The sequence below is a fragment of the Homo sapiens genome, chromosome 2 (assembly GCF_000001405.40).
Source record: "Homo sapiens chromosome 2, GRCh38.p14 Primary Assembly".
Lineage (NCBI taxonomy): Eukaryota > Metazoa > Chordata > Mammalia > Primates > Hominidae > Homo > Homo sapiens.
Window position 1 is genome coordinate 69,371,180 of NC_000002.12, and position 21,459 is coordinate 69,392,638.

General features: G+C 42.6%; 1 protein-coding gene across 4 annotated transcripts in view, besides 6 other annotated features; it reads right to left on the bottom strand.

Annotated features, from left to right (window-relative positions):
• GFPT1 (glutamine--fructose-6-phosphate transaminase 1) overlaps nt 1-16,048 on the bottom strand; it is a 67,448-nt gene extending 51,400 nt beyond the window's left edge. For 2 of the 4 annotated variants that reach the window (NM_002056.4, NM_001244710.2), the window contains exons 1-2: nt 15,886-16,048; nt 2,827-2,934 (exon numbers count right to left, since the gene is read on the bottom strand). In NM_002056.4, coding sequence (NP_002047.2) covers nt 2,827-2,934; nt 15,886-15,892 — 115 coding nt within the window. In that variant the 5' untranslated portion in view covers nt 15,893-16,048. Of the gene's footprint in view, nt 1-2,826; nt 2,935-11,744; nt 11,905-15,885 lie in introns of those variants that run through there. The other 2 variants (XM_017003801.2, XM_017003802.3) reach the window with 2 other exon arrangements.
• Nucleotides 10,292-10,341: an enhancer, noted in NCBI's record as "active region_15970". NCBI's record gives its function as "activates an Ori minimal core promoter by ATAC-STARR-seq in GM12878 lymphoblastoid cells {active_cell/tissue: GM12878}" and the evidence as "EXISTENCE:reporter gene assay evidence [ECO:0000049][PMID:35858748]".
• Nucleotides 15,628-16,297: a silencer, noted in NCBI's record as "silent region_11595". NCBI's record gives its function as "represses an Ori minimal core promoter by ATAC-STARR-seq in GM12878 lymphoblastoid cells {active_cell/tissue: GM12878}" and the evidence as "EXISTENCE:reporter gene assay evidence [ECO:0000049][PMID:35858748]".
• Nucleotides 15,628-16,467: a biological region, named in NCBI's record as "H3K27ac hESC enhancer GRCh37_chr2:69614151-69614710".
• Nucleotides 15,840-16,399: an enhancer, noted in NCBI's record as "H3K27ac hESC enhancer chr2:69614151-69614710 (GRCh37/hg19 assembly coordinates)". NCBI's record gives its function as "activates a minimal SCP1, AML or CMV promoter by ChIP-STARR-seq in naive H9 embryonic stem cells {active_cell/tissue: H9 hESC(naive)}" and the evidence as "EXISTENCE:reporter gene assay evidence [ECO:0000049][PMID:30033119]".
• Nucleotides 16,358-16,467: a silencer, noted in NCBI's record as "silent region_11596". NCBI's record gives its function as "represses an Ori minimal core promoter by ATAC-STARR-seq in GM12878 lymphoblastoid cells {active_cell/tissue: GM12878}" and the evidence as "EXISTENCE:reporter gene assay evidence [ECO:0000049][PMID:35858748]".
• Nucleotides 20,647-21,147: an enhancer, noted in NCBI's record as "H3K4me1 hESC enhancer chr2:69618958-69619458 (GRCh37/hg19 assembly coordinates)". NCBI's record gives its function as "activates a minimal SCP1, AML or CMV promoter by ChIP-STARR-seq in naive H9 embryonic stem cells {active_cell/tissue: H9 hESC(naive)}" and the evidence as "EXISTENCE:reporter gene assay evidence [ECO:0000049][PMID:30033119]".

Sequence of the window (21,459 nt, forward strand, 5' to 3'; positions counted from 1 at the left end):
ATTCTCCTGCCTCAGCCTCCCAAATAGCTGGGATCACAGGTGCACACCACAATGCGTGGCTAATTTTTTTTTTTTTTTAAGTAGAGATGGGGTTTCACCATGTTGGTTAGGCTGGTCTTGAACTCCTTACCTCAAGTGATCCATCCACCTCAGCCTCCCAAAGTGCTGGGATTACAGGCGTGAGTCACCACGCCCGGCCTCAGTTCAATTTTTGAACATGCAAAGTTTAAAATATCATGGTCTATCTAGGAAGAAACTTGTAGGAGGCCTAGAATACAGCTTGGGAGATAAATCTGGATTAAAAGAAATACATCTGGATTAGAAGTCACCAACATACTCTCACACAAAAAAATTAAAATTAAAAATAAAAAATACTGGCCGGGCGCGGTGGCTCATGTCTGTAATCCCAGCATTTTGGGAGGGTGAGGCGGGCAGATCACGAGGTCAGGAGATCGAGACCATCCTGGCTAACATGGTGAAACCCCGTCTCTACTAAAAATACAAAAAATTAGCCGGGCGTGGTGGCGGGTGCCTGTTGTCCCAGCTACTCGGGAGGCTGAGGCAGGAGAATGGCGTGAACCCGGGAGGTGGAGCTTGCAGTGAGCTGAGATCATGCCACTGCACTCCAGGCTGGGCGACAGAGCAAGACTCCATCTCAAAAAAATAAAAATTAAAAATAAATAAAAAATAAAAAGAATAAAACAAAGAAGTTACCAACATATATTAACAGAAGGCTGATGGGCCAGGCACGGCGGCTCACGCCTGTAATCCCAGCACTTTGGGAGGCCGAGGCGGGCAGATCACGAGGTCAGGAGATCGAGACCATCCTGGCCAACATGGTGAAACCCCGTCTCTACTAAAAATACAAAAATTAGCTGGGTGTGGTGGCAGGCACCTGTAATCCCAGCTACTCAGGAGGGTGAGGCAGGAGAATTGCTTGAACTCGGGAGGTGGAGGCTGCAGTGAGCCAAGATCACGCCACTGCACTCCAGCCTTGTGACAGAGTGAGACTCCATCTCAAAAAAAAAAAAAAAAAAAAGAAGATTGATGAGTCAGAGCTCACCCATGAAGACACCAAATAAGAGAAGTGGATCTAGAAAAGAATATTGGCTGGGTGCAGTGGCTCACGCCTATAATCCCAGCACTTTGGGAGGCCAGGGCGGGTGGATCTCCTGAGGTCAGGAGTTCAAGACCAGCCTAGGCAACATGGTGAAACCCCATCTCTACTAAAAATACAAAAATTAGCCAGGCGTGGTGGTGCATGCCTGTTATCCCAGCTACTGGAGAGGCTAAGGCAGAAGAATCAGCTGAATCCGGAAGACAGAGGTTGCAACAGTCAGCCGAGATCGCACCATTGCACTCCAGCCTGGGTGACAGAGCAAGACTCACCTCAAAAAAAAAAAGAATCTTGAAGAACATTAATATTTGAGCTGTAAGTAGAAGAAAGGAGCCTCCAAAGCAAACAGAAAAGAAGTAATCTTAGCATCTTAGGAAGAGAATAAGATGTGCTGTCAAGGAAGCTAAGGAAGGAGAGAATTTTAAAAACAAAGGAGTTGAGGAACTGACTTTCCATTACTAAGGAAAGTCAAGGAAGACAAATGTCCATTCCATGTGGCAATGTTAAGTGTACAAAAAAGAGTTAACACAGCAGGTGTGAAACTGCTATCCTCAGAAAGGCCTGTTTTCAAGGTTGGCCCTTCACTGGTGTCTAGAAACTTGGTTTTTGGAAGGATTCCTACCACCCTAACCAAAAGTGTCTCACTACACAAACTGTGCAAACAAAGTGGTTTATGCTGAACATCTGCTCTTATTTTGGGAGTCTAGAATTTTGGTACATGCTGGGCAGAGGGTGCCTATGTGACCAACCCCCAATGAAAACCTTAGGCACTGATCCACTGGTGAGCAGCTTGTGCCTAGCTTTCTCAAGACTTCAATTCCTGCACCTTCTCCCTTTGCTGATTGTGCTTTGTATTCTTTTGTTATAATGAAACATAGCCATGAGTACAACCAAATGCTGAGTTCTGTGAGTCCTCCTAGGGAATCGTCAAATCTGAGGATGGTCTTAGGAACCTCTGACATAGTTGAGGGAAGGAGCTAGGGTAGAACATAAAGTTGCCAGAAAGTTATGTTTATGTGTAATTTATTTAAGATAGATGAGGCTGGAATCAGTGGCTTGCCTGTAATCCCAGCACTTTGAAAGGCCAAGGCAGGAGGATCACTTGAGGCCAGGAGTTTGAGACCAGCCCAGGCAACATAGTGAGACTCTCGTGTCTACAAAAACTTTTTAAAAATTAGCTGGGCATGGTGGCACACAGCTATAGTCCTAGCTACTGAGGAGGCTACGGAGGGAGGATTGCCTGAGCCCAGAGTTCGAGACTGTAGTGAGCTATGACCGCACCACTACACTCCAGCTGGGGTGACAGAGTGAGACCCTATCTCAAAAATAAATAATAAAAATAAGAAAAAAGAATCTGAGGCAAGTTTATGTGTCAAAGCATGAAATCAATGGATAAAAATTAAAGTTATAGGAAAGAAAAAAGAATTTAGAGTAAGACCTTCACGAATTTTGTTTTACCACAATAATCCCCCATATGATGTTTTTACAATAATATTCTTAAGAGATCATCATAAGCAATACTCCACATAAATGGTAACACTGTTGAGATTACATAAATAAATCCTTTAAATATGATAAAAGACAAAAATTCTTCCAATTTACACTTACTCAAAACAAAACAGACTTTAATAGTCTAGTCTCCTAATAACAATAAAAATAGTATCTATTTAAAGAATCATGCAAAATCCATAGTATTTTTTTTAAAGTACCAGCAGAATCATATCCTCTGTACTCCAGTCTCTGAAGGCCTTTGATTAGGGTCTCCAGGATTTCTCGTCTCGTTCGAGGAACATGGTAGTTTAAGTAAGCAAATATACCTGCAAATAAACAAATATTTAATGAAAAATTCTGATTTAAAAAATCAAAATTAGCATAATTATGTCAAGTATGTGAAAAAACGTGAAGTTAGATTCTGTCTTTCAAACATTTCAAACCGTTTAAAGGCAATGGAACTTTTTCAAGGGGGAGTTTCTCATAAGTATAAAAAACTAAACATGTCAAAATACACATTTATAATTTTTTCTTTTTTTTTTTTGAGACAGAGTCTCACTCTGTCACGCAGGATGGAGTCCAGCAGCACGATCTCGGCTCACGGCAAGCTCCGCCTCCCGGGTTCACACCATTCTCCTGCCTCAGCCTCCCGAGTAGCTGGGACTACAGGTGCCTGCCACCACGCCCAGCTAATTTTTTGTATATTTAGTAGAAACGGGGTTTTACTATGTTAGCCAGGATGGTCTCAATCTCCTGACCTCGTGATCTGCCCGCCTCGGCCTCCCAAAGTGCTAGGATTACAGGTGTGAGCCACTGCACCTGGCAAAGAAGCTTATAAAGCTGGCTACTTATTTTCCATGACTGCCATTTTTGTCAAGTGAAATTTAATTTTTTTAAAAACCAATTAACAAATTCATGGTTTATGTCCTATATACAGAGCATTTCGTTTCAAGAAAAAAATTTCTAAAGTAATTTAAGCAACATATATAGGCCCTAAAATCTGTACCAATGAGATTAATTTTGCTTATTTCCAATAACCATGCTATCAGTGACATTTAGGAATAAATGATATGAAAAATACTCACCCCTTAAATAATTACGTAAAATAGTAAAAACTGACCAAATATATAACTATCTTAAAAGATAATTGCTTGAATTACTTGTTCATCACATTAGCAAATGACAACCACATAACAACCCTTGAAAATTCACAGAAAAAGAGCAATCATTTGGAAAAACAAAACTAGAAATCAAAGCAGTAATACAATGTGAACTGAACGGGATAAGCAAAGAAGTAACAAAACACAGGTAAAGGAAATCCACACTTTTAGGAATGGCAGCATGGGCATTATCTGAGGTTTTCCATGGCTGTGCTTTGGCCAGAGTGGACACAGCTTTAATGTATCAAAACTGAAGACTAAATTATATAAAATATACAAAAATACAAGTTCAAGCTGCTTATTTTAAAACTTCCTTTTTTCTTAACTACATTTCACTGTAATTCTGATTCATAAGAAGTTTAAATTAATTCTGTGAGATAGAACTCCCAAAAAACTAGTCTTCATTTCCATCTGAAAAGAGACATTTACTTCTATAGAGTGTGATCCTACTGAAATATTTCAGTATACAAAAATGGCACATTGTTGATACCCAACAGGAAAGCCATAACATACATGCTGATCACCATGATCAATACATTGCAATTTTCTCAAATAAATTATTATGCCCTAAAAAAGAGAAACTCACACATTAAAATCCAAAATAACCTGAAACAACGGTTTCAACTCTCCCCAAAGAAGCAGTTCCAGGCCAAAGACTTACAGAAATCCCATATTTCATTCAGATTAAAAAAAGATACACACACACCTTACATTTTTATTTTTTTAAGCTTTCCTGTAATGTACAGTCATCTTACTTTCACAGCACCACCACCCTGTAAGGGAGGGTAGAACATCTATCTTACATAATTCAAAAATAGAAATTGAGTTAACTGATATCCCAGAGATACCCACAAATAGCATTCCCAACCTCAAAGCACAGCAATTAAGATAAGGATAAACAACATGCTGCTTAAGGATATTGCTAAGGTAAGAGTGGTAGCGGCACAGCAATGTGCAGCTTCCAACTTTCAATGGCTACTCATGATATAAACACTAGAGGGCAGCAGAAGAGTCTCCAGACCAATCTGCACCCATTTAATTCAGAAGAATGAGTCCGGGGTTTTTGTTGCTACTGCTGTTCCTTCATGAAGTATCTGTAATATGAATAAACGAATAACCCAATTGTAAATCAAACTTTGCACTCTTCACCTATGGGTCACTGATCTTTGAGAAAGATTAAACACGTACAGATAACTATCAATTAAGTATTTTAACCAGGTCATTAAAAGACAATACACAGCACACAAATCTTTTCTAAAACAATACTTTAATACAAATGTGGGCCAGGTGCAGTGGCTCACGCCTGTAATCCCAACTTTGGGAAGCTAAGGCAGGCGCATCACCTGAAGCCAGGAAATCAAGACCAGCCTGGCCAACATGGCGAAACCCATAGTTACTACTAAAAATACAAAAATTGGCCGGGCATGGTGGCGTGCACCTGTACTCCAGCTACTTGGTAGGCTGAGACGGGGAGAATCACTTGAACCCTTGAACCCAGGAGGCGGAGGTTGCAGTGAGCCGAGATCGCACTGCTGCACTCCAGCCTGGGAGACAGAGCGAGACTCCATCTCAAAAGAAAAAAAAAAAAGTGTGAAAAAAACTGAATCTGAACTAGTTCCCACCACTGTGACTGCATCAGCTAGAGTCCACTAAAGGAGGATACAATCTAGCTTATTTGAAAACAGAAGCCTGTCGAGGATTGTTTGCAGATTGTCCAGAGCTGCCAAATTCTAAGCACATCCAGAAAAACTCACTCCTAAACTCTCTCTTTTTTAAGAAATCTAAGTCTGATAGTAAAAGTAAAAATGTAAGCCAGATGATAAAAATGAAAGTTGGTAAAAACATAAAAATGTAAGCCGGATGGTAAATGATTTAAAGATTAAAGATGTATATGAATGTGTTAAAACTATTTAAATGCTAATGATATAAAATTGTTTTTAAGACAATTTATAGACTCTACTTTTTTTTAAAGATTAATGCGGCAGGGCTGGGTGGCTCACGCCTGTAATCCCAGCAACTTGGAGGCCAAGGCGAGTGGATCACATGAGGTAAGGAGTTCAAGACCAGCCTGGGCAACACGCTGAAACTCCGTCTCCACAAAAATACCAAAATTAGCCAGGCATGATGGCAGGTGCCTGCAATCGCAGCTACTCAGGCGGCTGAAGCAGGAGAATTGCTTGAACCTGGGAGGCAGAGGTTGCAGTGAGCTGAGATCGTGCCACTGCACTCTAGCCTGGGCAACAGAGCAAGACTCCGTCTCAAAAAAAAAAAAAAAAAAAAGATTAAGTAATGCAATATTAAATTCACTGTTTTTAATAATGTAACTCAACAACAGCATTCAACTTTAATAATACTTCTAACTCCAATCTCCTTGGTTTATAATGGCTCACTATATGAATCTTGAGAGCTTAAGAACATTTTGGCTGGGCACAGTGGCTCACACCTGTAATCCCGACACTTTGGGAGGCCGAGGCGGGCGGATCACGAGGTCAGGAGTTCAAGACCAGCCTAACCAACATGGTGAAACCCCGTCTCTACTAAAAATAAAAATAAAAAAAAAAAAATAGCCAGCTGTGGTGGCACGTGCCTGTAGTCTCAGCTACTCGGGAGGCTGAGGCACGAGAATAGCTTGAACCTGGGAGGCAGAGGTTGCAGTGAACCTAGACTGCACCACTGCACTCCAGCCTGGGCAACAGAGCAAGACTCCGTCTCAAAAAAACAAACAAAGAAACAAACAAAAAAGTAACAGAGCTAGAAGAAGGAAGGGGATTAGCCTCAGACATACCTGATGAGGAAAATGGGAGCTAAGAAGTTGAACCTGTCAGTTTCATAGCCCTGTCCCTTGATAGCACTACTAGCCCAAGACATTCCACCTGCGGGGATACCGGGTTAACTGTAATCTTGGGGTGCCCGAGACAATACTGGCAGCAATTCATCAGGTACACAGGGCATGTTCACAAGGGAGGCATTCACAACTCACAATGATGCTTGTTAGAGCAGAAATCGTTAGTCTGACCTCTATTTTCAGGTCTTTGACTTGTCTTATCAAAACTCCCAATAAACAGTTTTTTGTTTTTTGTTTTTTTGAAACAGAGTCTCGCTTTGTCGCCAAGGCTGGCGCCATCTCAGCTCACTGCAACCTCCACCTCCCAGGTTCCAGCAATTCTCCTGCCTCAGCCTCCCAAGTAGCTGGAATTACAGTGGCCGCCGCCATGCCCGGCTAATTTTTTGTATTTTTAGTAGAGATGGGGTTTCGCCATGTTGGCTAGGCTGGTCTCGAACTCCTGACCTCAGGTGATCCACTCGCCTCAGCCTCCCAAAGTGCTAGGATTACAGGCATAAGCCACTGCACCCGGCCTAAACTCCCAATAAACAGTTCTTAAGTAAGGTAATGACAAAAGCCTAATATCAACTTTCCGCCACTCTTCAGTAATTGCTCTAAGAGCACACACAGTAGCTGTATAAGCATAGATTCTCTACCCCCAAATCAGCATGCACTTCACAAGTGTAAGCTTTCTTACTAATGGAATATACTTGGAATAAAATAACTCCATAACTGAAGCAGATGCTTGAACCTACAGGCATCATTCTCAATAAATGGCAACTTAAATTCAATGACAAAAAAGCAATTATGAGCACCTTGCTAACAAAATTTCAGAAGCAATCTGGATCACAGACTAGACACACCTGGTTGAAAGCAATGTAGCTGCAAATACAGACTGTTAAACCTTACTGAAAAGAAAACTGACTCGTCAAATTATTAAAATTCCTATGTCTGGTTGCATTTATGTCCTTATGAATACTAAATTTTATTTTTATATATTTTATCATTTGACAGCTGCAATATTTTGGGACCCTAAACATTGTAACTTATCAGTGATAAGTGTTCAAATTCATTCTCTAAACTTAAAACTTCTGAATCAAAATCTACCTACAATGTCACTTAAACTCTAAATTTTATTTTTCTTATAATGCTAGTCACAAATTAATTCATCACCATCATTAAAAATTCAAAGTAGGCCAGGAGCAGTGGCTCACATCTGTAATCCCAGCACTGTGGGAAGAGAGGCAGAGGTTACTTGAGCTCAGGAGTTCGAAACCAGCCAGGGCAACATACCAAGACCCTGTCTCTATTAAAATTTGAAATAAATAAATAAATATTAAAACTATACAGATGCTACAGAATTGTGAAAATCTCTCCTTTCTGTCTCCACACAGGTTCCAACCCCTTTCTCAGAGATAACTACTGTTATTCCCATACACACACTCCCAGTCCTTCAGCTATAAATTTTTCTACAGGCCAGGCACAGTAGCAGATACCTGTAATCCCAGCACTTTCGTAGGCCAAGGCGGGAGGATCATGGGCAGGAGTTTGAGATCAGCCTGGGCAATACAGGGAGACCCTGCCTCTACCAAAAATAAAAAATTAGGCATGGTGGTGCATGCCTGTAGTCCCAGATACTTGGAAGGCTGAGGTGAGAGAATCACTTGAGCCCAGGGGTTCAAGGTTGCAGTGAACTAGTCAATATTATAATTATGGAATCACATTCTACATTTAAGATTTCTTTAAAATTAAGTATTATTTGAGATACATTTTCTTTTTTCTTTTCACCAGGGGTCTGCTCTGTCGCCCAGGCTGGAGTACAGTGGCACAATCCCAGCTCATTAAAACCACCACCTCCTGGACTCAAGTGATCCCCTCATCTCAGCCTCCCAAGTAGCTGGGACCACAGGCACATGCTAATGTGCCTGTAATTTATTTATTTATTTACTTATTTATTTTTAATTTTTGAGATGGAGTTTTGCTCTTGTCGCCAAGGCTGGAGTATAGTGATGCGATCTTGGCTCACTGCAACCTGTCTCCCAGGTTCAAGCAATTCTCCTGCCTCAGCCTCTGGAGTAGCTGGGATTACAGACGTAAGCTACCACGCCCAGTTATTTTTTTATTTCTTGTAGAAATGAGGTCTTACTACATTGCCCAGGCTGGTCTCGAACTCCTGGACTCAAGCGATCCTCTTGTTTCGGCCTCCCAAAGTGCTGGGATTACAGGCATGAGCCAATGCATCCAGCCAAGGTACATCTTCTACAATCCTAAAAGCACATATAAAGGCCAGATGCCGTGGCTCACGCCTGTAATCCCAGCAATTTGGGAGGCTGAGGAGGGTGGATCACTTGAGGTCAGGAGTTCGAGATCAGCCTGGCCAACATGGTGAAACCCCGTCTCCATTAAAAATACAAAATTCCTAGCCAGGCATGGTGACGCGTGCCTGTCCCAGCTACTCAGGAGGCTGAGGCAGAAGAATCACTTGAGCCCAGGAGGTGGGGCAGAGGGTGAAGTGGGCCGAGATTGCGCCACTGCACTCCAGGCTGGGCGACACAGTGAGACTCTGTCTCAAAAAAATAAAAAATGTAAAAGTAAAATAAAATAAATCACACATACAAAAATAACATATGGAGTGAAACAATTAAGACTTTCAATTATTTGTGTGTTTAATTGGTTCATGTCTCCCCTACTTTACTGTAACTATTGCCACTAGAAGGGGCTCCATGACACGTCTCTTGCACATTTAACATTCTGGAGCTCAAATCACTAGTTAAGTCATGACATCTCTATACATTCCCTCACAGTCAACCTATGTCATCATCTTTCTTGAGAAAAAAAAGCATGTACTTCCTGCTCACAATCTTCAAATATTCCATCTCTCTCTCTTCTGACCATTCACATCAGACTACAATTTTTCATCATACTGCCAAGTCAAACCCTCTGGGTCCACTGTGCTCTGACTCCTAGTCTCTGAGCATCTCTACACTGAACTATGACAGCCAAGGAGAACTCATCTATCCTATCCATTTCGGTCCACTTTCGGATGGGCCCTCCGAACTGCTGACCAATCCTATTAATTCATCACTTGCTTAACTTTCAAACTTCTCCCAGATATTATTTTAGAGTCTAAGCTACATACTACTCTCAAATCCTCATTTTCTCTTCCCAGCTTCTTTTTCATTTTTGGTAGATTCTTACTTTATAGAATTAAAGTCTTTTTTTTTTTTAGACAGAGTCTCGTTCTGTCACCCAGGCTGGAGGGCAGTGGCGCTATCTCAGCTCACTGCAACCTCCACCTCCTGAGTTCAAGCGATTCTCCCGCCTCAGCCTCTTGAGCAGCAGCTGGGATTACAGGCGTGTGTTACCACGCCTGGCTAATTTTTGTATTTTTAGCAGTGACAGGGTTTCACCACGCTGGCCAGGCTGGTCTCGAACTCCTGACCTCAGGTGATCTGCCCGCCTCGGCCTCCCAAAGTGCTGGGATTATAGGCGTGAGCCACTGCGCCTGGCCAGAATTAAAGTCTTCATTTTCTTTTTTTGTTTTTAAAATATAGAGACAAGGTCTCAATATGCTGTCCGGGCTGGTATCAAACTCCAAGCCTCAAGTGATCCTCCCACCTCAGCCTCCCAAAATGCTGAGTTCACAAGCATGAGTCACTGCCCCTCACCCATCTTCTTTTCAACAGTTTAACAATATATAAATACTTCTCATCCTTCCTTGTAATCTCAAGAGAGACATATTACACATACTACTCTCTGAAGCTAGCCTCTCCCCTACTTGTAACTTTTTTTTTTTTTTTTAACAGTCCTGCTCTGTCACCCAGTACCCAGGCTGGAGTGCAGCAGCACAATCATAGCTCACTGCAGCCTCAAACTCCTGGACTCAATCCTCCCACCTCAGTCTTCTAAGTAGACTGGACTACAGGTATGCACCACCATGCCTGGCTAATTTTTTTTTTTTTAATAGAGATGGGATCTCACTATGTTGCCCGGGCTGATCTTGAACTCCTAGCGTCAAGCAATCCTCCTGCCTCAGCTTCCTGAGTGGCTGGGATTACAGGTGTAAGCCAAAACACTGGCTACTTATAACTCTTTTTTTTTTTTTTAATTGAGACAGAGTGTCACTCAGTCACCCAGGCTGGGGTACAGTGGCGTGTTCTCAGCTCACTGCAACCTTCACCTCCCAGGTCCAAGCACTTCTCCTCCCTTAGCCTCCCAAGTAGCTGGGATTACAGGTGCGTACCACAACAGCTGGCTAATTTTTGTATTTTTAGTAGAGATGGGGCTTCGCTATGTTGGCCAGGCTGGTCTCAAACTCCTGACCTCAAGTGATTCGCCCACCTCAGCCTCCCAAAATGCTGGTATTACCAGAGGGAACCCCACACTGGGCCTTACTCCTAACTCTTGATGAGTGTTTCTCCAACTTTGTAAATACAGAACTCTTTTGTTAACATCAAAATATTCTGAGGCTCCTTCACAACAATGGGTTAAATTTTTATTATTCAATGATCTAGAACAATCTTTATTCAACTTACAGACAAAGTTATAAGCATATGAATAAGCAATGAACACCCTGTAACAACTTCAGGGCTTGTAGGTCAGGAACCACAGCTCTAGAATTCAACTTCTCAACACTCCCAGGGGACCTCAATCCCAAAATCCTCTTCTTTTTCATATTACTTGCAGCCCTCCTCCTAAACACAAACTGAGACCCTTCTGCCTTGACATATGCAATTTCTCTAATAATTTCTTCATAACCATATCCAATTAACTTCTCTGCAGTATTACATATGAATGACCTTTTTCTACTTTTATAGACTCTGTTCAAGGCAATATACTACTTTGGAACTCTTCTGCCTTTAACCACTGTTCCTTGGTCTGTTTTCCTGGCACTTCTATTTCCTCCTTCATCTGGTAGTAGTTCTCAAACTATTTCCGCCTCCATTCACTGACGGTTAACATATGCCATTAATGATTACCTCTCACAGTATACTAATACTCTACAAGTTGAGTAAAAGTCCTGCCCCATCACCCAGAACATTCCTGAACCTAACACAGAAACCCAAACCCCAGAGCTCTCCAGTCTCTAAATTTCTACTCATTCTACTTGTGGTCTATGACATGGCAATGAACAAGGACTGTGTATTTTCACCTGAAGCTGTTGCATGTGCATTCATTTTCTTTCCTCTGATCAGGCAGCAATTTCTTGAAGGCAACTCTCTTATTTTAGTCATCTCTGCAAAGGGCAGAGTGCCAAGTATAAAGCCATCATTTCAAATACCTGCAAGTATCTTCTAACACTTTCTAGGCACCTGAAATATACGGTCAAAAAATTCTCAAACCACAGAAACAGAACACTATTTCACCGGATGCTAAAAAGGAATGAAGTAAAGAAAGGTTTCATAATTAAAGGTTTAAGAACTACCTGGTTAAAGTTAGGTATATATTTAGAACTTTCTGGAACCTTTAATCTTGCTAATTGTGAATCTCCAAGAGCAGAATTTCCCAAACTTGTGTTACAAAACCCTTTCCCGCCTTCTACTGCTCATTACCAGAACCTATTAACCTCCATTTCCAGGGGACAATTGAAGAAATGCTTATTAAGCAATTATTTTCTCTCACAACTTCTTCATATCCAGTATATGTAAGGATATGTTAATAGTACTGGTTTTATGACCAATCCTAGCAGCCAATCTCAGCATCCCTCAATTATCTCCAAAGCCATTAGACAGTATAATTACAAAAAACTTTTGAAAAATTCATTTTAGGATACTTTAAAATTGCAAGTTCCTTTACTGCTTTTAAAAAGGATCTCATTTGCAAACATTCCATTTATTTATTTATTTATTTACTTATTTATTTATTTATTTTGAGACAGTCTCTCACTCTTGTCGCCCAGGCTGGAGTAGAATGGCACTATCTCAGCTCACTGCAACCTCCACCTCCTGGGTTCAAGAGATTCTCCTGCCTCGGGCTTCCGAGTAACTAGGATTACAGGCATGCGCCACTACGCCCGGCTAATTTTTTTGGATTTTTAGTAGAGACAGGGTTTCACCATGTTGGTCAGGCTGGTCTCAAACTCCTGACCTCAGGTGATCCACCCACCTCAGCCTCCCAAAGTGCTGGGATTGCAGGCGTGAGCCACCGCGCCCATCCCCAAAATTCCATTTTATATACACCGTCGAATCAGAAGGGTATAACTTCACATTTATAAAAACAATAGCAAAATCTGTTAAAAGCTAGGGATAGCTTAAGTGACTTGACACTCAGCAAAACCAAAAATAATGCAAATAAAAAGGACAAAGTATATTCCAAACTACCAAGAAAAAGGAAGATAAAATAAATTTGGAAAATAGACACACTATTCTTCTCTGGGAGATTCTCAATGCTTATTATTAATACATTAAAGATTCCAAGAAATCCTCCAATCAAAAAACAAAACAAAACATTACCACGCGATTTAATATGTTGCTTCCCAAATTTACTGGACCAGAGGATCTTTTTTCCTAACACTTATTAACATCCCAATACAAGCTGGTAAACATATCAATTTTATCAGTATATCTGATTGAAAAAAAGCACATCAGAATCTTCAATCCTCATTCTTCTGCTTCAACAATGCACAACGTTGAAATAAAATAATCTTTTAGGCAAATTTAACTAGGGCCGGGTAAGGTGGCTCACTCCTGTAATCCCAGCACTTTGGGAGGCTGTGGTAGGTGGATTACCTGAGGTCAGCAGACCAGTCTGGTCAACATGGTGAAACCCCACCTCTACCAAAAATGCAAAAATTAGCCAGGTGTGGTGGTACACCCCTGTAATCCCAGCTACTCGGGAGGTTGAACCCCGGAGACAGAGGCTGCAGTGAGCCAAGATCATGCCGCTGCACTCCAGCCTGGGCGACAGAGAGAGGCCCCGTCACAAAAAAAAAAAAAAAAAAAGAAAAAAGAAAGAAAGAAAAGAAAGAAGAGAAAGAAAGAAAGAGAGAGAAAGAAGAAAGAAAGAAAAAGAAAGAAAGAAAGAAAAGAAAAGAAAGAAGGAAAGAAAGAGAAAAACTTAACTAGATAGCAAGTAATCAGAAAGTAAGCTTCCAGATTTTCCCATCTAGTCTAATTTTCACTCCATTTCTCTGCTCAGGAATTTTAGTTCAATGACTAAGATGTGGGAGGAAAATAATGACACTCATCTTCTTATCTTTCAGAATTTACATTAGAGAGAAAATAAATTCTGAACCCTATCCCTAGAATCAGGCAAAACCGTGGTATGACTTAAAAGCAGGACCTCAGAAATGCCTCAAATATTCACTTTTTATTTCTTCAATACCTGTTTCCTCAGCCGTAAAACTCTATGGAATGGAGACACAAACTATGTGAAAACTCCCAACATTTAGTCTCCACCCTAAAGGTATCTCCCTTATCTGAACCTGATTTCCATATCTGATTTATTTATTTATATTTATTTATCATTTTTGAGATGGAGTTTTGCTCTTTTTTACCCAGGCTGGATTACAATGGCGCGATCCCGGCTCACTGCAACCTCCACCTCCTGGGTTCAAGCAATTCTCCTGCCTCAGCCTCCCGAGTAGCTGGGATTACAGGCGCGTACCACCACGCCCAGCTAATTTTGTATTTTTAGTAGACATGGAGTTTCACCACGTTGGCCAGGCTAGTCTTGAACTCCTGAGCTCAGGTGATCCACCTGCCTCGGCCTCCCAAAGTGCTGAGATTATAGGCGGGAGCCACCACGCCCAGCGCTGATTTATTTATTTATTTATTTTTTTTTCAGTAAGTACTTTGACTACGTTTTTTTCTTGGAACATGATGAAATGACCTGCAACCAGAATGTTGAGTACTTGATGAGGCACACCCCTCATCATTCAGGAACAGTTAACTACCAAATGAAGCACACTGGAGATTGACCAGTTTGCAAATTCACTACTTCACAGCTCCAAACTAAATGCAAAACCATTCTACTAAGTAGACACTGCAAAAGTCTGATTCTGAAGTCAGCTCTACTCTAATAATTTCAGTAAGCTATTTATAGGTGTTTCTGTTTTTATGTGGGTTTTTTTTTAATCTACTCTAAATTTAAACCTGCTCCTCATTTTCAGAAGCTGAAATGAGCATAAAGTTAAATACAGGAAATATATACACTAACGAGTACAATCCACCTCCTGTTCAGTTCCTTCGTGTAAAAGGCTGCAAATAAGAAGTCTCCCAGAGAGTTTTCAATTCTCTTACAATGGTACTTCCCTTTAAAAAAAAAAAAAAAAAGTGTACTTTCTTCCAGGGATAAAGTCGGTTGTAAATTTCAATAAGAAAGGTAAGAATACAATTATTTTTACTGGCAATAGCCAAATTAACACCAATTTTAGAAGATATCAGTCATGTCAGACACGATTCTCAAAGTCTCTTTCACTAACACTTAGGTCATAATAAACGACTCTCAAAACATGGAATAAAAGGGCCTAACCTTAATTTTTTAAGGCTCTAGGAAAGATATTTGCTCAACTTTCCATAGCTAGTATTTTTAATGGATGCACATGCAAGGGATAAATGATATTTTTCATAGTTGGTATTCTAAAGGGGTATACATCCAAGGTATAACTGATATTTTTCAGAGCTGGCATTTTTAATGGGTGCACACGCAAATGATAAATTATGTATAACCTATCGCCACAGACATTTGAAGGCCTCTTCCACCAGAGGATCAGGTCTAAGCCCATGAACCAAGTTATTGATTAGCAATGGTTTCTGTTGAGACAAGGGATGGCAGGAAGTATCACGTTTAATGGCACTACCGTGGCTCTAGCTAGGGTCTGTTTTCTATTGGGCCTCCCCAGAAACAAGTAAAATATTTTTTTAAAGATTTTTAGAAAAATGCAAGGTAAGTTCAAGAGACCTCGCCCGAGGTTCCACAGGTTTCCTCACTCACCTGGTGGGCCCTTTTGAAGGCAACCCCCTCCACACCTCAATTCCCTCAGCTCTCTCCTCCTTTTTCAATAAAGGCGTTTCTCTCCCCTTTCGGTTCCTTCTCCGCGCCAAGGCGCCCGCTAGCCCCCGGCAAAGGGGGCCCGCCTTCCTCTCAGGTGCCTTTCTCCCGGCCGCCACCCCCTCTCCCGCCCGTGGATGCCGGCCCCCGCCCCCGCAGCCACCACTGGGCGCCCCTTGCCCATCACCCAGACTTCGCACCCTCCACACTCCCGCTTCCGCCCGTCGCCTTGGGCCTTAGCGGCACCCGCACCGCACCCCAGCGCCACCCGGCAACACGCCCCCCGCTCCCGGCCCCCTTACCACACATGATGCCGGAGACACGGCCCGCGAGGCCAGGGGCGAGTGGCTGGCGGGATCGGGGGTGCACACACGAGCTTCGGTGGGCAATCTGCGGGCTCGGGGGCCGGGGTGGCGCCGACACGACTCCCTCGGGGATGCGACGGCCAAGGCAACGACAGCCTTCTCCGCCTCCCGGGCTCCGCCAGCAACCGCCGCCGGGCCCCGCCCCTCGGCGCGCAGCGCGCCGCCGCCCGTAGGCTCCATTGAACCGCTCACGCGCCGCTCACGCGCAAGTCCCGCCTCCCAGCGCTGCCCCGCCCCCCGAGCCCACGCAGGCGCTGGACTGCTGGCGGCGGCGACGTGGCAGTGGCTCGTGGCCGCGTCCGCCTGGAGTTCCTGGAGACGCCCGCCCCGGGGCGAGCCGCGGGAGGGACCGAGCCGAGAGGGAGGGAGAAACTCAGCACCTGGCAGGGAATGACGGAAAGAGAAGGATGGAATTGTTAGCAAAGCAATAGCCCGGGTGCGTGCCCCGTGCAGCCCCAGGCCCCAGGCGCCAGCACTGCACGAAGCGAGGAAAGAGGAGGAAAAAAGCAGGAAGTATGAAAAGGGAATCCTGGGGAACATAAGGCTGAAAAAAATTGCAAAGAATTAGGTTGAGGTGGGAGGAGAGAGATAACAAAATTCTTGACTGTAAAGCCCCAAAGGTCAGCCTCTCTGGTAATAAGCAATTCAATTCCTTGTGTAATATGCTTGGCCCCTAAAAGCCCTCCGCATCCGTTGCCTCCATAACCCTCAGTTTATTGTGGAGGGGTAGAGGAGGAATGTAAGGCTCAACTATCCGACTATGAGCCTGGACGTAAGAAACTGCTGGCCCACCTCCTCCCATGACCCACCTGAGACGGCTAGGAATTCCCTAGCTTTAACAGCCGCGCGTTTGACTTACGAACGATTCATTCTATGAATTAATGCGCCATGTCTGACAAGAGAGACTTGATTAGAGAGGGATGATGTTTCTGAGAATTTATTACCTGGGCATTTGCTTTAAACAGCCTTAAATGGTATCTTTAGTCAAATGTGGAGTAATCAGAACTCTATAATGGCTCTAGAGTAGAGTAGTATCAAAAACGTACATGGCACACAGAATTCCTGGAGTGCTGACTGCTGTTCATGTGTCTGGTCTTAGCCTGCTGACTGCTGTTCATGTGTCTGGTCTTAGCCGTCCTTCCAGCCCTATACACTCCCAACAGGCTCAACAGGTAGTTCCTCAACTGGGCCAAGATTCTCAAATCTTTTGCACACTTTGGTTACTCTGCATAGAATCCCCACCACGTCTCTGTTTAGATGCTACCTCTTCAGGAAAGCCTTTTTTATCCCCCCTAGACAGACTTGGAGACATGCATTAACCTCTTACTCTTTGAGCTACTCACTGTAAAGAAATATTCTTTGATATTTTATGATTTTCTGTATTTTCCCACTGGGCTGTAAGTTTCTTGAAGCTAGAACTAGATTTTACATACCCAACACTTTTAGACCACAGCACAAAGTAAAAGATCAAATTTATTTTGGAATGAGTGAAAAAAAGTCCTATTTTCTTAGCGGAATTAACCTTCTATGGCTGGTTATATGATTAAGTGAGCATAAGGCTTTCAGTTCTTCTTACGGGGAAAAGTGCCTTTTTTCACTTGCCTCAGAGAAGCTGAAAAATGTCACATTTAACTAAGCAGAGTATTTCTCACCTAAAAGCCCTTTTGATATTTCAATCCCTTAAACAGGTCCCTGGATCACCCAGAGCAAAGTTTAAAAAAAAAAAAAACAGTGAGCTTTTTGGTAATAATACATTTCTTAATTCAAGAAACAAAAGACTGTGGATATACATCTAGCCTCAGAACCCTCATCTAAGGCTCTGGTTAGAACTCCGTTGTATTACCTAAAAGCCAAGGTATGGTTCCAATGCTTAAGCAACATCTTTGTGCACTGGCAGCAAACCTGTCAATGCCACAAAGAAAATGTCAGCAGTACTACCAGAGTTCTCATGCTCCAACTATAGTAATCTATTTAACCCTTTGCTTTCTTCTTCTGCCTGCTACTCCACCACAATGACTATCAATTTGTCTTATCCATCTCCACTCAACAAACTATTTTGGAAGATATTTATGAATCAGTTGAGAAGAAGAAACTAGTGTTACAGGTCTTTTAGAATTTGTCTAAATACAAATTTTTAAAAGTTTTCAGTAAAGACTGGAAAGTCCCCAACTCAGAAAAAAAAAAAAAAGTTAAAAAAAAAGTAAATAAAAAAATAATTTGACAAAAAAGAGAAGAAACTTTGAAGGACAGTATTTTCCCAAATCAGCCTTGAAGAACCTCACTAACCCAACACAACAAAGAACTCTTTGTAACCATGCGCCAGTTAAGATACACACTTTGGGTGCCTGACCTCCCTTTATACAGAGCTCCGCCTTAACTGGACCTTTGGGAATAAGGCCTGAAGGAGAAGAAAATAAATGATCTATGAAGGGAAGGGGACATCTGGGTCTAATTCAAACAAATGAGGGAATGGATTTTCTCTCCTGATCAAAACATTCTGAACGACAACAAAAAAAGTAATGATGGCAAGGGGGTGTCATTCACCATCTCTTTATGTAAGTCCATTTCCCTGTTCGTAGATTCAGTCCCATTGGATCTGATGGCTGAAGGCCATCAGAGCTTCCAGTTGCCATTACTAACGCAACGAAGAACCTTAATTGAAATAGCTGTAGTCATTTTTATTAACCCTTATGTGAATTCCAGTAATAGCAATAAAATTATTAAAATAAAAATTCCTTTGCATAAGAATATGGGGAGCTGGGGTACATATGTCCTACTTTTTAGGGAGCTTTGTGGAGAAATGTACCCCAGTGGACAGAGAAGATGGTAGCAAGTATCAAAGGAAAAAGAAATAGGTTGAGCCCCTGAGGCCTGTGAAAAGAAATGAGGACAAGAACAAAAGGCACCAATCAAGGCCTCAGAAAGACCCTTTGAGTGAACCCCTTTAGCCTCCCGCAGTTCATCCCACACACTTTGGCTCCAGAGGGACCTGTCAAAAATACAAATGTGATCCAGTTTTTCCTTGCTTCCAATATCGTGGTTACTCTTCACCCACAGGATGAGTACTAGATTTCCCAATTCAGTGGCAGCACTCCCACAGAAAGAGCTTTCACAGAGCTCTTCAAGGATGCAGCTCTCACAAATTTATTTCTCACAGTCATGGTGAAAGATGTGCCTAGAGGGCAGAGCTTTCACTGACAAATAATAAATAGAAGACCACTCAAACTAAAGAAGGGGATTTACTAGCTCACGTAATTGGAAAGAACAGGAATACAAACAGCTTTCAGCACATTTATACCCAGGGACAGAATGTTGTCAGAACTCTTGAACTACCTCTCTGACCTCATGGACAGGGAAATAATCCTCAAATAGCTCTGTAATCACAACTTTATAGCTTGCAGCCCAAAATGAGAGAGGCTATTCCTCCATCCTTACTTTTTATATTCTAGACAAGGATTCTGGCCAGTCCAGCGTGAGTCACATGCCCCACTCCTGTGGCAAAGAAGGCAAGACATTGTGATAGGACAGCTCCACCAAAGCCCTATAGAGTCATATAGCCACATACGGCAAGAGGAAGCAGTTCTTCAAAGGAAAGGGGAAGGTGTTGCTAAAAGAAGAACACCAAGAAGGCACACAAAAAAATATGTCCACCGCATCAAGCAAATATGACCTGATTGCCCCCCAGAAAACCTGAGGCTTGAGGACAAAGGATGCTAACTCCAACTAGAAGCTATGCCCTCCCCAATACTCCTCTCCAACGTGGCTCCAAATTTTTCCAGTAGGCAGAAGCTGGGGCAGAGTTTTCTAGCTCTGCGAGAAAGAAACTCTTTCTACTGCCAAGAAAGTCAACAAATTGAAAACCATGAGATAAACTGGTCCTACCTTTAACCTACTATTTCTGTCCTGTTGGATGTGAACAGAGCCACAATAAGGGGTGGACCATTCAGGGAGCTGCCTAGAACTGAAAGATCACTTGAAACGTAAGGACACAGAAAAAGTACTATTTTTCTAGGGTTTCTTTCAAGGGATACTTGAAAAGTTGCTTCTGTGTATCTTGTAAGCTCCTAGGGAATAATCACAGATAACACTGATATGGCAAAATGGAGTATATGGCTGGGATTTCCCAAGAGGGGTGTAGATTCCCTCTGGACTGGAAAGCAACTAGTTTCATATTCCTGCATAAAAAAATGGACACACATGTACATACCACTGCTTTTGTCTACTGTGGTTCTAGACTCTTGCCCACTCGTAAGTAGCTATGAAAGCAAGGAAAGCTTCTCTCCTCCCTCAAGTAGGAATACTCAAGAGGGGTATGAGCCCAACTTCCTTAAGGCAGAATAGTATAGCTATAATGTGCATAGGCCCTGCAGCCAGAATGCCAGAGTTCATGTTCCTAGCTTTTCCACTCAAGTTGCATGGCAATGGACAATGTACTTTTCCTTGTGCCTCCATCTTCCAGTTTATAAAAATGGGGACAATAGGCCGGGCACAGTGGCTCAAGCCTGTAATCCCAGCACTTTGGGAGGCCAAGGCGGGTGGATCACTTGAGGTCAGGGACCAGCCTGGCCAATATGGTGAAACCCTGTCTCTACCAAAAATACAAAAATAGTCAGGTGTGGTGGCGCATGCCTGTAATTCCAGAAGAATTGCTTGAACTTGGGAGGAGGAGGTTGCAGTGAGCTGAGATGGTGCCACTGCACTCCAGCCTGGACGACAGAGCAAGACTTCGTCTCAAAATAAAAAGGCAGGGGCGGTGGGGGGGGCGGAGGAGGGACAATAGTTAACTATCACGTAGGATTAAATGACTTCATAAATATAAGGTGCTTAGAACAGTCTTTGTGAAAACCTCAGGCTTGAGGATGAAGGATGTTCAATGAATAAATGAACACTGAATGTTCAATGAACGTTTGCTATTTTTATATATGTTGCTCTCATGTGACTGTATGTCATCCTGCATAGGGCTTCATCCTAATTTTGGTTAGTGAAAAATCCTCAGGCCAGGCGTGGTGGCTCACGCCTGTAATCTCAGCACTTTGGGATGCTGAGGCAGGTGGATCACTTAAGCCCACGAGTTGCAGATCCACCTGAGCAACATGGTAAAATCCCGTCTCTACAAAAAAAAAAAAAAAAAAAAAAAAAAAAAAACGAAAATTAGCTGGGTGTGGTAGTGCGCACCTATAGTCCCAACTACTTGAGAGGTGGAGGTGGGGAATCACTTGAGTCTGGGAAGTCAAGGCTGCAGTGACCCATAATCACGCCACTGCACTCCAGCCTGGGCAGTAGAGTGACACCCTGTCTCAAAAAGAAAAACCCTCCAAGTGCCTGGCTTACTCTTGACCAATAATCTTAGTTTCAAATACTTACTGAAGCATCCCATATTTACAAAGTGTTTTCAGGATATTTCATGTAAAATATTTTATAAAAGCTGGACATGGTTGTGCATGCCTGTAGTCCTAGCTACTTGGGAGGCTGAGGCAGGAAGATGGCTTGAGCCCAGGAGTTTGAGGCTGC